This window comes from Homo sapiens, chromosome 21 (genome assembly GCF_000001405.40).
Source record: "Homo sapiens chromosome 21, GRCh38.p14 Primary Assembly".
Classification (NCBI taxonomy): Eukaryota; Metazoa; Chordata; class Mammalia; order Primates; family Hominidae; genus Homo; species Homo sapiens.
In genome coordinates, this window is record NC_000021.9 from 32,622,045 (window position 1) to 32,638,835 (window position 16,791).

The window sequence follows — 16,791 nt, forward strand, 5'->3', positions numbered from 1 at the left end:
ATATCTTATCTGTTCCATTCCTTTTGCAGGATGGGTTAAAAAAGGCAGCAAGGTCAAATAAGAATGACATCCCAGGGTGAACACCCACTGTGATATTACGAGTAATACCTCCCTAGGATATAAAAAACACTGTCACAGAGTATACACATGGGGTACACCCACTGTGATATTAGAAGCAATATCTCCCTAAAATATTATGAAAAATATCACAGGGTGTGCAGACTGTGTGATATTAGGAGTCATATTTGCCCTGGTTATTACGACTAATATCAAGGGTGTACACACACGGGGTAAACTTACTGTGATATCAGGAGTTGTATCTCCCTGGGATATTATGAATAATATCACAGGGTATACACTATGTGTGTACATCCACTGTAATATTTGAAGTAATATCTCTCTATGAGATTACAAATAATATCAAAGTGTGTACACCCCTGTGACATATTAGGAGTAACATCCTTCTAGGGTATTACAGATAACGTCACAAGGTGTACACCTTCTGTGACATTTTGTGCACCCTTTGTGACATTAAAAGAAACAACCCCCTAGGATATTACGAATAATGACACGGGCGGTTTACACACATGGTGTACACCTCCTGTGCCATCAGGGGTAACATTCCCCTAGGATATTACGAATAATATCACAGCAGGTGAACACACATGGTGTACACCCCATGTGACATTAGGAGGAACATGCCCCTAGGGTATTAGGAATAGTATCACAGGCGTTGAATACGCATGATATACACCCCCGGTGACATTAAAAGTAACATCCCCCTAGGATATTAACAAGAATATCACAGGGAGTACACCCCATGTGACATTAGGAGTAACATCCCCCGAGGATATAACGAATAATATCAGAGGGTGTACACGCATTGTGACATTAGTAGTAACAGCCCGCTATGATATGACGAGTAATATCACAGGGTGTACACCACGTGTCACAATTGTAGTAACATTCCCCTAGAATATTACGAATAATATCACAGGAGGTACAGCCCCTGTGATTCACGAGTAACATTTCTATAGAATATTACAAGTCATATCACTGTGTGACTCTGTGTACACCCCATGTGACATTGGGAGTAACATCCCACAAAACTATTACGAATAATATCACAGGGTGAACACCCTCTGTGACATGAGGAATAACGTAGTTTTAGGATATTATGAATGATATGACAAGGTGTACACACCCTGTGATGTTAGAAGCAACATCCGTCTAGGATATTAGGAATAATATCACAGGGAACACACCCCCTGTGACATTAGGATATTACAAATAATATCACAAGGTGTACACGCATTGTGACATTAGTAATAATATCCCTCTCATATACTATGAATAATATCACAGGGGGTACATCCCTGTGACATTAGGAGTAACATCCCCCTAGAATATGATGAATAATATTGCAGGGGGTACACACCCTGTGACTTCAGGAGTATCACCGCCCTGGAATATGAGGAATACTGTCCCAGGGTATTAACCCCCTGTGACCTGAGGAGTAACATCCCGCTGGAATATTATGAATAATATCACAGTGTGTACACCAACTGTGATATTAGGAGTTCTATTTATTTTTAGGATATTAGGGATAATATCACAGCAGATATACACAAATAGTGTGTACACCTACTGTGGTATTAAAAGTTATGTCTCCCTAGGGTATTGCGAATAACATCACAGTGGGTGTACACCCACTGTGATATTTGAAGTAATATCTCCCTAAGATATGACAAAAAATATCAAAGGGTGGACCCCGTCTGTGACATCAAAAATAACATCTCTTGTGGATATTCCGAATAATATCACTGGGGAGTGTGTATTGGGGAAGGGGGCCTGTGGGGAGAAAGTGTATGACTGAAGGCCTGGAAATGCCCAAAGCCAATCCCGGCTTCATAGGAAGACTGATAACTGATAGTGGATAGAAGGGGGATGGAGCCTTAGGGGGAAGATGTGTTATTATTTCTAGTACTGTTGAGACAGGGATCACCCAAACGCTGGAACAGGCAGTACTGGTCTGATTGGCAAATGTCTATCTCGCCGGAAGGAGAAATGGGCTACTATGTTTTCTTAGCTCCTGACTGCCCGCCATAAGGTCATGCCCTTTCTCTTGAATCCAATTCTGTACCCATCAACTTCTTAAAATTTTACAGTATAGCCTTCCAGATAGAGAGCTACATGTCCACAAACTTACATATTTTACAGGGTCTCAATATAATTTTTAATAATATTGAGAAATGTAGAAAATCGTTGCATAAGAACCCATGTACTGACCATCCAGTTTTGTTTAAATATGTAGGTTAGTAATCATCTAGTGATTATTAAAATCACCACAGATCAAGCCTGTGCAGTATCTTTAAATTTGTCAGCCCTGGTATTCGTTGTCCTCATGACTTTATTATAACTGCATTCTGTTCAGCATTTTCTTTTTTTTCTTTTTTCTCTTTTTTTGAGACAGAGTCTCACTCTTGTCGCCCAGGCTGGAATGCAGTGGCTCATTGCAACTGCTGCCTCCTGGGTTCAAGCAATTCTCCTGCCTCAGCTTCCTGAGTAGCTGGGATTACAGGCGCCTGCCACCACGCCCAGCTAATTTTTGTATTTTTAGTAGAGACGGGGTTTTGCCATGTTGGCCAGGCTGGTCTCGTTACCTCAGGTGATCCGCCCGCTTCAGCCTCCCAAAGTGCTGGAATTATAGGCGTGAGCCACCACCTGGCCCTGTTCAGCATTTTCTTAAGGTCCTTTTCTTCTCATACAGGTCTTGTCTTAAATATCTGTGGTTAGCTCTTTCTTGGTGTGGTTTCAGCAATCATAAATCATGCAAAGCCTGTTGTCTTGCCCTCAGGCACCCAAGTGACTTCTGAATCTGAAGACCAAGATGACACCTGGTGTGTGGTCTTGTGAGTTTTGGCTGGTTTTCTCTTAGTGTTTTAGGTGCTGTTTCTGTTCTAGGATGAAGAGCATCTTATGACCATTTGTATCTGTTAAGCAATTCATCAGTGATTAACGTCCTGGTCTGGATAATTTATGAGTCATTCATGATGGCTGCTGGATGTCAGGCAGCCAGAAAGAAAAAGAGAAAATTTAACTCTATTGACTACTTTTTTTTTGTCCTAATACACTACAGATACAGTTAAAGCCCCCACATACCTCTTTCTAATCCCATTCTCGTCTTCTTCTCCAGAGGTAAATTGCTATTCTAAATTTGGTGTTTATCATTTCCATTGCATGTTTTTTATACCATTAACGTGTATGTACCCCTAAAAATATATCCTCGTGTATTTTAAATTTTTTTATTTTATTTATTTATTTATTGAGACGGAGTCTCACACTGTCACCCAGGCTGGAGTGCAGTGGTGCAACCTCGGCTCACTGCAACCTCCGCCTCTCAGGTTCAAGCGATTCTCCTTGCCTCAGCTTCCCAAGTGGCTGGCATTACAGGCGCCCGCCACCAAGCCCAGCTGATTTTTTTGTATTTTTAGTAGAGATGGAGTTTCACTATGTTGGCCTCGAACTCCTGACCTCGTGATCCGCCCGCCTTGGCCTCCCAAAGTACTAGGATTACAGGCATAAGCCACCGCGCCTGGCCTTTTAAATGTTATATAAATGGTGTCTTACTATTTTGTATCTTGCTTTATGGCTACACCGTGAGGTTTTCTCGTATGTTCTTTTCACTCACTTATTTTCACTGCTGTCTACGATTCCACTGTATGACTATGCCACTCCACTCCCCTGTTGATGTTTATTTGTGGTTTTCACCATTACAAACAATGCCTCTCATGCTCCACAGGTCCTAGTTTCTCTAGAAGTCGGATTTCTTATTGATAGGGTATATGAATTTTACCTAACATTGTTAAATTGTTTTCTTGAGCTGATGTGCCAGTTTACCCTTTCACCAACCATGTTAAGAGTTCCCCCCTCTCCATATAATTGGTAATCCTTGATACAGTCAGACATTTTTCTAACATTAATAAATTGGTGTTTTAATTTATACATCAGTTTCTTGTGAGTTTGTTTATTACATGCCTATCACCCTTGCTATAGTTTCTGGTCCTGCAGAGCTCAGAATCTGGCTGTGGGTCATGTAAAAACGATGAAGACTAAGCTACAGACTGGAGAAGTATCTGCAAACCATATATCCAATGAAAGATGAGTAGAATCTGGAATATGTACATAGCCCTCAACTGTAAAAACAAAATCCATTTAGATGATGGGTAAAATACCACAGACACTTCACTGAATATAAGATGGCAAATAAGCACTTGAAAAGATCTTCAGGCTGGGCACAGTAGCTCACGCCTATAATCCCAACACTTTGGGAGGCCGAGGTGGGTGGATCACCTAAGGTCAGGAGTTCGAGACCAGCCTGGCCAAAATGGTGAAACCCATCTCTATTAAAAACACAAAAAGTTAGCTGGGCATGGTGGCAGGCGCCTATAAGCTCCACTACTTGGGAGACTGAGGCAGGAGAATCGTCGGAACCCTGGAGGCGGAGGTTGCAGTGAACCAAGATTGTGCCACTGTACTCCAGCCTGGTTGACAGAGCAAGACTCTGTCTCAGAAAACAAAACAAAAACAAAAGATTTTTATCATTAGCTGTTAGGGAAATGCAAATTGAAACTACAATGAAACATCCACTACTATAATGGCTAAAATAAAAAATAGTGACACCACCAAATGAGGAAAAGGATGTGGAGAAGCTGGATTACTCATGCATTGCTGATGGGAATGTAAAAGGGTAGGCACTCCGGAAGAGTTTCAGTTTTTAAAAAACTGAAGCATGCCATTACCACATAACCAAGCAATTGCACTCCTGGGCATTTATCCCAGAGACATGAAAACTTATCTTCATAGCAGCTTTATTTGTAATAGCCACCAAACTGGAAACAACCCAAGTGTCCTTCAGTGGATGAATGGTTAAATAAACGGTGGTACATCCATACCATGGAATACTATTCAGCAATAAAAAGGAACAGAGTACATGCAAACTAGATGAATCTCCAGAGAATTATGCTGAGTGAAAAAAGCCAACCCCAAAAGGTTACATACCATGATTCAATTTATGTAACATTCTTGAAGTGAGAAAATTATACATGCGGAGATCAGATTAGTGGTTGCCAGAGGTTAAGGGCAGGGGAAAAGGAGATGGGATGAAAGGGCAGTGGGAAAAGGGCAACATGAGGGCTCCTTATGGTGATGGAAATGCTCTGTATTGTTCATGTCTCGGTCATGCTCTGGTACTGTAGTTTTGCAAGCTGTTACCCATGGGGGCAAGTGGGTAAAGGGGTACACGGGGTCTCTGTATTATTTCTTATAACTCCATATTAACCTACAAGTATCTTAAAATGGTTTTTGTAAGCCAATAATTCTGTAACTTCTTAATAAAAGGTTAATGAACATTAAGAATTAAAGTAAGAATTTCAAATATCAATCAGACAGGTCTGAAAAAAGGCAATACTAGCCTTGGCTTTTTTTTTTTTTTTTTTTTTTTTGGTGAGATAGGGTCTTGGTCCGATGCCCAGGCTGGAGTGTGGTTGTGTGATCATAGCTCACTCACTGCAGCCTCGATCTCCTGGGCTCAAGTGATGCCCCACCTCAAACTTCTGAGTAGCTGGGACTACAGGGACGCACCACCATGCCCAGCTAATTTTTTTGATTTTTACCAGAGATAAAGTCTATGTTGTCCAGGCTAGTGTCGAACTCCTGGGCTCAATCAATCCTCCTGCCTTAGCCTCCCAAAATGCTGGGAGTATAGGCATGAGCCATTGCACCTTGCCTAGCCTTGGCCTCTTTTTCTTTTTTTTGAGACAGTCTTGCTCTGTCCCCCAGGATGAAGTGCAATGGCGTGATCTCGGCTCACTGCAACCTCTGCCTCCCAAATTCAAGCTATTCTCCTGCCTCAGCCTCCTGAGTAGTTGGGATTACAGACGCCTGCCACCACGCCCGTCTAATTTTTGTATTTTTAGTAGAGACAGGGTTTCACCATGTTGGTCAGGCTGGTCTCGAACTCCTGACCTCATGATCCACCCATCTCGGCCTCCCAAAGCGCTGGGATTACAGGCGTGAGCCACCACGCCCGGCCCTGGCCTTTTAATTTGGGTCTCTTTAGGCAGTCCCTTTTTCTGATTGGCTATTTTTGTCCCAATTCCTCTTTGCCCCCCACTTGTTCCTTCTACTTTGGGTAAGAAAAATCATTCATATTTCTTGTATTATTTTCAAGTCAGCATGTTTTTGCGTGAGGGCCTCTCTTATGGAATAAGTGCATGGACTTTTTTTTTTTTTTGAAACAGAGTTTCGCTCTTCTCGCCCAGGCTGGAGTGCAATGGCACAATCTCGGCTCACTGCAACCTCTCCCTCCCAGGTTCTAGTGATTCTCCTGCCTCAGCCTCCCCAGTAGCTGGGATTACAGGCCTGCACCACCACGCCCAACTAATTTTTTTTTCATATTTTTAGTAGAGATGGGGTTTCACCATGTGGGCCAGGCTGGGCATGGACTTTTTAATAATGATTAGTAATCTCGGAAAATCTTCTTAGTTTTAGAGGAAGCACTATCTGGAGAAATGAAAATAAGGTCTTGAATTAAAATATCTGATTCGGCAATAAGGGTTAAGCTTATTTTGTTTGAACGTCACCAAACTTGTGTATGTAAAGTACAAGGAAAATGGCTGAGAAAAATTCTTCCCTTTCTAACAAAGAAGTCAGCATGGTAAAGACAGATATATTTATTTCATATGACAGCACGTTTCACAGGATATGTACAGAATGTCTGTGTACCACTGACTTTAATACTGTACTTCTATAAAGTTTATAGTTATAAATATTGTATGCCACATAAGCAATAAAATTCTTACATATAAACAGCAATCTAATATAGAGAACACAGAGTTCACAAAGAGATCCTTAGTGTCTAACTTCTGCTCTGCTTTTAACAGAACTAGTAAATATTTAATAATACATAGAATAATGGCTAGTTATTTGCAGCATACCTTTAACTTTCATAACTTTGTGCATTTTCAGCAACTTGCCAAGTATAATTTTCCTGATAAAGGCTGGGCTGCTGATATGTATATTTTAGACAGTAGTTTATATTCAATAGGAAACATTGCTCACAGATCTGCAATTTGCACTAGTGAAGTTTACCTAACAATGAATTATTTTGCTAATGGAGAGCAAATACCATATACACTAGTCACATGGATGTTAAAGCCACAGTTTCAACAAGTTAATTCACATTTTGAAGCAACTGCTTATAGTAATACTGCTGTTTAAGACGCTACTGCTGAAATGATTAGAACCTCCAAAAAGCACAATATAAAACTCACAAGAGTTATTTCTAACAGCAAATCTTGGCTGTTAACAGAGAAGATTACTTCTATAAATATAGTATTTTGATAACATTTGAGCATTTAGAAAAATGCTTTTTTTCTAATAGATTTGCTTTATAAGTGCAGTGCAGTTTGCTGTGCTTTTAACATTCTACATATTCGTAGCCATGAACGCTATTTTTTGATATTCCCTCAATGTACATCTTTAAAGGTTAAGTGTGGACATAGGAATTTAGGTGGACATATACAACTCTTTATATAAAAGGAATGTTAATGTAAGTCTTAATGGGTAAAGATGATTGTAACTGAAACTGACAAAGAAACAACTATTGCTCAAGGAGTTTTCTGATTGGTTTACTTAATGATATCAAAATACTACATTCTGTAAAAATTCTGTGTACTTCTTCAAAAAATTAATAAAAGCGGGATCAGTTGCATATTGGCAGTGCAGGAGACAAAATCCGCAGCTACTTTGAGGTATAGCCTCTAAAAACTTAAAGCAGCATCATAGATGTGTTATGTAGCCTCGTAAGAGGGGGGAGAACACACACTGGGTATATTCCCAATTCAAAGCACTCAGGGGACAGCTGCTTTCCCTGCTAAAAGCAAAGTTCCAGAGCAAAAGCAGCAAAAAGAAAATATGGGAGGGATATGGGCAACGTATACTCGAACGTACGCAGAGAAGAGAGTACGGTTAGCTCTAATATTTCTCATTGAACTTGGTGGTATGTGCCTTCCCTGCATATAAGGCCATAGTGCTTTTTTGGGAGCGCTAGAATATCCATCCACTTGACAGTGACCACAAAATAGGCTGTTTCCAGCTGCAAGAACCTCCTCCTGGAGAAAAGCGTATGAAGGTGCTGGAGTGAAAAGTAACAAGGTTGTGTGTATTTGAAGGGGTTGGGTGTGGAACGGTAGAAAATTCTGATTCTGTGGTGAGATTATTCTAGTTTTGAAAACAAAATTAATGAAAGGTCCAAATTACATTTGCAGCCATCTTTTTGGTAATGTGATATTGAAAAAGGGACTTTGTTGGAACTTTTAGGTATAATTTGGTCTGAGTTATAGCCTAGAAATTAAAGTATGAATTGTAAAAATATGTAAATGTATACAGAAGTACATGTGTTTGTATGTATTATATATGTACACATACCTATACTTTTTTCCTTTAAAGCAATGCCTTTCAAAACTCTGTTCACTGTAACCTTGGCAGCTCTTTGGTAAATACTCAAAGATACCAATTGTTAACAAGTATGAGAGGGCTGGTGGAAATGTCAGCTGAAAGTTGGGTGGGCTTTTTGAGATTCTTCAGAAGACTGACCGAAAAGTTTCTGAATAAGGACTGTTTTCTAAAGTATAAGTACTTTTTATGGCTACTACTGTCTCCTATTCATCCAAAGAGAAATACATCAAAACTCCAGTTAACAATGAGAAGGGTTTTTCCTTATTTCCAATATACACATAGTCCAACTCTGTACACATCAAATAGTGGTGTTTTGTGAAGATATCAGTGCACTTACAATGACTTATTGCACATAATGAAATACTAATGCCCAATTCTCTTAGCTCTATCCTGCCAAAAGCAAGTACCCACTGTTTTCTATTGCATGGCGTTATCTTTCTGTAAAGTCCAGTGTGGGTGAAGCCTTAGAGGCCAAGGTCGTGAAAGGATCTACTGGAGGGCTGGTGCCGGGCGGGAGCAGAGGGACAGGAGGTGGAGGAGGTCTTCTTGACGGCAACACACAGAAGGAGACATTTGTACCTTTATTCCAGTCATCATTCAATGTCAGGTTGGAGCCAGAAAATGAACTTGGCTGATTACCCAGTAAGTCTGAACAAGCTGACTTTGACTTCCCTTTCACACCAAAATCCTCTTCTTCCTCGAAGGTTACCCATCCTTTCGGGTTGCTAATTTTTAATGTAGACTGGCCCTGTAGATCAAAACTGTCCTTAAAGCCATCAAGTGAAGATGAAGCCCTGCTTTTGTTATGACCAAGAGGCTGCAGAGAAGGGAAAGGACTGATAGTAACGGGCTCTTCTTTGGAGAACCATGAAGTTGCCTCTGATTCTTCAGACTTGGCTCTAAATGGGTTTCCAGGAGCAGCAGTCCTGTCACTGAAAGGATTTGTCCTGGTCAAGCCAGTAATAAATGGGTTTGGAGAACTTCGCATATTTTCCTGGGATTGACTCCGAGCTGGAATTGGAGGCATTGTTGGCATGCAACTTACAGAACTCAAAACATTACTTTGCGTTGCAGAAGGCAACTGAATCAACCTCTTTGGGTCTGGGGTGGGAACAGGTGACGTTTGAACAGATAGCTGAGCCTTTGATACAGCAAGCAGATTAAATGACAGATCTTCAAATGGGTCAATCTTTAATGGTGATTCTCTTTTGCCATCAGAGATTCCATTTGTTTTTACCTGCAAAAGAAAGGGAGCACTGAAAAATCAGTTTATATTTACTCTTAATACCCCCTATTCTTCCTGTCTCAATTATTCTTCCCTTTTAGGGGCAAGCATGTAAATTTAGAAACTAAAAAGTAGCTTTGTGTAGTTTGTTACTCCGGTGGTTTAAATAACATGAAACACCTACAGTCTTTAAAAACTTCTTTCTAAATAAATCCTTTCTAATTAAATCCATTTTTAAATCCCTCAAAATCAAAGAGCTTATTTCATTCATGCAAGTTTTGAAATGGTAAGAAGGAGAATTGTACAGAATTAACAAATTTGTTCATGCCCAGTTCTATCACATTTCAGCATGAACTTAAGAAATCCATACTTATAACTTATGCTAAATCTATATAAATAAAATTCTAACACCCATCTATGATGATGATGTGGTTTCATTGTTCTTTTAAGTGTGTTTTCTAAAATTAATGTTACTATGGAAATTCAATTTTATAGATAAAATTAATTCTATTAGCATATTTTATTCCTAAGACGAAGACTCCATCTTTCTGTCTTCTACTTGGAAAAATAAATTTTGAGAGTTCTTTGCCCACCCCCTCTTTTTTTTTTTTTTGGAGACCAAGTCTTGTGCTGTCACCCAGGCTGGAGTGCAATGGCACGATTTTGGCTCACTGCAACCTCCACCTCCCGGGTTCAAGTGATTCTTGTGCCTCAGCCTCTTGAGTAGCTGGGACTACAGGCGTGTGCCACCAGGTCTAGCTAATTTTTTGTATTTTAGTACAGATGGGGTTTCACTATGTTGCCCAGGCTGGTCACAAACTCCTGAGTGCAGGCAATCTGCCCACCTTAGCCTCCCAAAGTGTCAGGATTACAGGCGTGAGCCACCATGCCCGGCACAGCTGACTTTTAATGTAAGCTCTCCTTTGTTGAATAAACTGAGTAATGTGAGGCTGGGCGCGGTGGCTCAAGCCTATAATCCCTGCACTTTGTAAGGCTGAGGCAGGTGGATCACCTGAGGTCAGGAGTTCCAGACCAGCCTGGCCAACATAATGAAACCTGTCTCTACTAAAAATACAAAAAATTAGCTGGGCATGGTGGTGCGCGCCTATAATCCCAGCTACTCAGGAGGCTGAGGAAGGAGAATTGCTTGAACCTGGGAGGCAGAGGTTGCAGTGAGCTGAGATCGCACCACCGCACTCCAGCTTGGGCAAGAGCAAAACTCCGCCTCAAAAAACAAAAAACAAAAACTGAGTAATGTGACAACTTTCCATAAAAAAATTGACCCTCCTGTCTTGTAAAAATATTCCAAAACAGATACACTATTAGTAACCAAATGCAACCATTGCTTAAAACCAGAGGAAAAAAAGTTCCATTTTCTATTTGGTTTATGAAGTCTACAACCACAATGATGTGCCTAGAGTGGTGCCTGGTCCCTTCTATGTGACAGAGTTGGCTGTGAACTGTTATCAGTAGGAAGAGTGCTTGGAATTCCTTCACTCCTGCCCTAAATCCCTTGGTCCCTACTCCATAAAGAAGGTGGTTGGAGTGGAGCACAGCCAAGGGACTGAGCAAAGACAAATGATCGGATGAAGGAAAAGAACTATGATTCTTGCCTCATAAGCAAATTAGCTTATCAGGCATACATTATTAATTTTGAAAAAAATGTATATAATTCTTAAAACTAGGGTAGATGACTTGGACACTTATGCTAACTTAAGAAAACTTCAGGGTTGGATACGATAGGGCAAAAAAAAATTCAGTTCAAGACTGGCAATGTAATAAAATGAGCACTGCCCAAAAGGAATTTGGATAGTTGTTAAAGCAACATAACTATACTTTCATGAAATATATTGGAAAAAAACAGCAGCAGTCTCAATAAAATGTAACTGCATACTATGAAACACTTAGTTACTGCTTAAGAATATGGAAGGATGTTCACTTGTAAAAGGAAATGGATGACTTAAGTGAATAACTTTCAAGTATCTGTTTTATTCAACTATCCTAGAATATGCTTTATAATTGGTTGAAACAGTATATTTTTCTTCAAACTTAGTGTGATAAATTTGTACAAAACTAAAGAGAAAACATGTCACAGACTTTAAACTGTACTCTAAATGTCTTAGGTAAGTAGACCTATATGTGGAAATGTACTTAAAAGGAAATTTATATAGATATTATAAAATTAACTCTATATTACCAAAAATCTCTGGACTATTTATAGTTAATACAAAATGAAATACTTCTGTCTGAGACAAAATTCTCCTATGGCAGATAGAATCGTCTGCAACACAGACATTATAGGAAAGGAGAATTTTGTGCTCTGCCAGCTTAGAACAGAAGTCACCTGCTGCATCAGTGCTATACATTTAAACACCTTTATTTGCATATATAAGAAAATTTTTATTTCAAAATAAGTTAATTTGATAGAATCAGGATCATTTTTCCCAGACTTGAAATTACAATGACAACCACATCACCATTCATCACATTAGAATTAATTTGTAATCTAAGCAGGATTTGTGATGACAATATTAAAATTGGTGCTATTTTTACAGAGAAAGGTGTTGGAAGGACCTTTAGATAATCTTGTTATACTGGTAACTTTCATCTTTCTAAACCATCAATTCTTCCTTACCAATAACAATCTTGCTACTAAAACCATTTGAAAAAATATTTCCCCCAAATATTTTTTCCTAAAAAACATACTGAATTTTGTGTTTATGTAATTACATAAATGCCATTGTTAAAACCAAGAACCGATCTGGTTTTGCCAAAAAGGCCTTCATATACCTAAATCTTACTTTCTTGAAGTTACACTTTTTAGTTTTGTTAATTTTCATAAAAAAATGAAGCAAAAAGTGGTAAAGCATTAGCAAGAACAACTACATGGTTCCTAAAATCCAAAATACTAAGAAAAAGAAAAAGCAGGTTTTATGGTATGATAGAATTTATTAATGGAGACAGGTGGTTTTAAAAATGGGTGAAACTTTAGATGTATGAAGCAGAGATTCATACATCTAATGTGTTGAGACGGATGAAAACACATGTAAGATTGATAAATTGTCAGATACCTGTTACCCTGATGGTTGCTCCTGCTTTGAGAAAGGAAACAGACATCAAAGGAAAGAGTTAGGAGGACAATCCGAGATCAACCAGCAACCCTAACAATTCAGTCAACAAAATGCTTTCTAAGTTACAGACAGAACCCAAGAGCAGCAATATTTGCAGGTTGTAACATAAATTCAAAAGACAATTCCAATTCCTTTTATAATTTTGTTGAATTAGGGTCCAGACTTTAGTTTTGTCTGAGGTTGATTACTAACCAGTTCAGTTTTGTTATTCCAAAAATAATACTCCAAATGATTTCAGAGTTCTAAAATATTTTAAGCAACCTGTTATGGACTGAATATTTGTGTGCTCTCCCCTCCCAAATTCATATGTTGATTCCATAAGCCCCTGTGTGATGGTATTTGGAGGTGGGGCCACTAGGAGGTAATTAGAGTTAGATGAGGTCATGAAGGTGGGACCCCATGATGGAATCAGTGTCCTTATGAGAAGAGACACCAGAGAGCGTGTGCAAGGGTGTGTGCATGCTCTCATTCCAGGCACCACATGCAATGAGGCTGTGTGAACACACAGTGAGAAGGTGGCTGTCAGCACACCACAAAGAGTGCCCTCACCAGAACTCAACCATGCTGGCACCCTGATCTCAGACTTCCAGCCTCCAAAACTGTGAGAAAATAAATTTCTGTTGTGTAAGCCACCCAGTCTATGGTATTTCATATGTCAACCCAAGCAGACTAAGACACAGCCTTAGGATAGCCTAGGGATGTCATTATTAGAGAAAATGGCAATGTAATGGTACAAAATGGTACCATTTTTGGTACATACTATTTTGCAAAAAGACTACCCTACTGAAAATTAGTACTCATCCAGCTTGTTTTATCTTACTCAAATTTTCTGAAGGATGATACTCTTAATATCATTAATTTACTTCATAATGTATTAGTTGGAAGGTACAAGAAACTTGTACCTTACAAGAAATTTGGAATTTACCTTTGTTTAAAAATGAAATCATAATCCCTCTATAATATACCATTATTTTTTAAAATCTAGTATCCTCAAGCAAGTTTTGAGGTAAATCTTCTCCAATATCTAAACCTATTACTAAATAGCAAAACTAATTTTGACAATTCAGAGACATCACCCAGAAATATATTAAGTACTTTAGAATTTCCTGCCTAGTAAACATGAGACTCTTATTTAACACTCAGAGTTTTATGTATCAGCTCTGGCAGTGGACAGGAGATCAGGAATAGGTTTATACTGAGAGGTACAAGGTTGCTGTATCCTCCATTAAATGGGTCTAGAATGCTGTGATTTTTCTACCAGGTCTCACAGTAACAGTATAGCAGTGAGTTCGGTTCCTTTACTTCCAGTTGCATTTCCTTATTTCTGGCTCTCAGCTGATAAAGATGACTAAGATGCTAGAAGTCAGATAGATAAGTGAGGATTTTTTATACTTTGTAAAGGACGTATAACATGTTATATAATCACTCGAATTAAATGAATCTCTTCTATACAAAATTATAAAGTCAAAGGATAAATAATAAAAAGTAAAACTGGGTCATATACATTATGTTTTAAATACCTTGTAGATTTGGAATAGGATAAGTAAAGACTTGTAAAAATTACAAATGTTCAATTCTAAAACTATTTCATGTCATTACAAAATATCAAACTTGTCATATTTAAAAATCTCACCATCAGGTTTGAAAATCTTGTAAATTGTTCAACTTAACAGCTACTTCCAATAATTTAAAATTTTTTTTATTATTTTTAAAATAGGCATTATTTTACGGTTCAAAATTCAAAAGGTACAAAAAGATAGAAAGACTCCTCCTCACCTGCCTCCTGGCCCCCAGCATTGGGCATTCCCTGGAGGAAACTGTAACCACTTTGTGATCCCTCACAATGACACTCTGCATGTAAACAAGACCCCACCCTCCAAGAAAGAAAAGTGTGTCTGTGTATCTAATATTAAGGAGTTTGATATCAATGACTGAGGCAAAAAGATACTTCAGGATTTGAAACAAATATCTTTGTCTTTTTGATGAACTGACAACCATGAGATTCAAGAACACAATCTAAGGGGGCACACACAAAGCATGTGCCCGTCGGCCACCAAATCGCTATACTCACTTCAATGAAAAACATAAAACAATGGAAAGTTTTCTGAGAAAATGATATGTGTCTTAGAATGATTTTATAATGATAACTACAATCTCAGCTAACAGTTTGCACCTCCGGAAGTTTTTCAGAGTACTTTATCTACTTTTGTATTGGTCTAAGGACACTTAAACCATCAGAGTTTTAGTAATTATGGCACGCAACTACAATGAGATGGATGCCCTAAAACAGTCCTAGAAAGCTCAGAGTGGCTAGTTGAAAAAGTTTTTTGCCCTTCAATTACATTTTAAAAACTACAAAAGAGTATACAAGAAAATAAGAAAAATTCACGATTCACTAAAAATGGATTAGCAGAAAAAAAAAATCATTATTTGAAAGAGTTCTACCATTATTATATATTTTCACCATCCTCAATTTTTCTTTTTTCTTTTTTTTTTTTTTTTTTTTGAGATGGAGTCTCGCTCTGTCACCCAGGCTGGAGTGCAGTGGTGCGATCTCAGCTCACTGCAACCTCCACCTCGCAGGTTCAACCAATTCTCCTGTCTCAGCCTCCTGAGTAGCTGGGACTACAGGCGCACACCACCATGCCTGGGTAATTTTTGTATTTTTACAAAACAAAAGAGACAGGGTTTCACCATATTGGTCAGGCTGGTCTTGAATTCCTGACCTCAGGCGATCGACCCGCCATGGCCTCCCAAAGTGCTGGGATTACAGGCATGAGCCACCGCTCCCAGACTTCATCCTCAATTTTCTAAACTAAAAAAATATAGAATTCTTTTTGGTATTAACCAGCTTAAGGGAACATTTATTTTTCTGTATTATATATCCTTCAACTTTTACAAATGTGACTTAATAAATGCTAACTGCTAACTTTATTCATATTGTATTGAATCATATTTACTTTAATATCTGTTTTCACCCTGTAGACACTTAAGAAACTGCTCACTTCTGCCAACTAGCTGGACATACCTATATATCTGTAAAAATAAATGTAAACTATTACTTATAAATGTGTTAAAGGGACATTGCCAATACGTATTATTTCTGTATTTCAGATCTTTCCAAAGTGTAAAAGAAGACTTTTTATTTATTTATTATTATTTTTGGAGGTACAGGGTCTCACTGTGTCACCAGGCTGGAATGCAGTGGAGCGATCATGGCTCACTGCAGCCTTGATGTCCTGGGCTCAAGTAATCCTCCCACCTCAGACTCCCAAGTAGCCAGGACCACAGGTGCATGGCACAACACCTGGATAGTTCTTTAATTTGTAGAGACAAGGTTTCTCTATGTTGCCCAGGCTGGTCTTGAACTTGCAGGCTCAAGGGATCTGCCCACCTCAGCCTTCCAAAGTGTTAGGGTTCACTCATCTCACAGTTTTTTCAAAAGAGTTTAATGAGATACTTTTAAGGAAAGATCACTTTGAAAATTCAGAGTAGGCTGGGCATGGTGGCTCACGCCTGTAATCCCAGCACTTTGGGAGACTGAGGTGGGCAGATTGCCTGAGGTCAGGAGTTCAAGACCAGCCTGGCTAACATGGTGAAACCCTGTCTCTACCAAAAATATAAAAATTAGCCGGGCATGGTGGCAGGCACCTGTAATCCCAGCTACTCAGGAGGCTGAGGCAGGAGAATCGCTTGAACCCGGGAGGCGGAGGTTGCAGTGAGCGGAGATCATGCCACTTCACTCCAGCCTGGGAGACAGAGCAAGACTTCGTCTTAAAAAGGAAAAAACAAACACACAAACAACAACAAAAAACCCAAACATATATATATATATACACATATATATGTATAATAACAAATATAAAAAGAAAATTAAAACTCGTATTTATTTTTACTTCTTATAACAGGCAATAA

At 38.9% G+C, this 16,791-nt stretch overlaps 1 protein-coding gene across 24 annotated transcripts in view; it reads right to left on the minus strand.

The window, feature by feature from the left end:
• SYNJ1 (synaptojanin 1) overlaps nt 6,715-16,791 on the minus strand; it is a 99,636-nt gene continuing 89,559 nt past the window's right edge. For 11 of the 24 annotated variants that reach the window (XM_047441038.1, XM_017028497.3, XM_017028499.3 and 8 more), the window contains one exon: nt 6,715-9,757. In XM_047441038.1, coding sequence (XP_047296994.1) covers nt 8,951-9,757 — 807 coding nt within the window. In that variant the 3' untranslated portion in view covers nt 6,715-8,950. Of the gene's footprint in view, nt 9,777-12,813; nt 12,841-16,791 lie in introns of those variants that run through there. The other 13 variants (XM_047441045.1, XM_047441043.1, XM_047441048.1 and 10 more) reach the window with 4 other exon arrangements.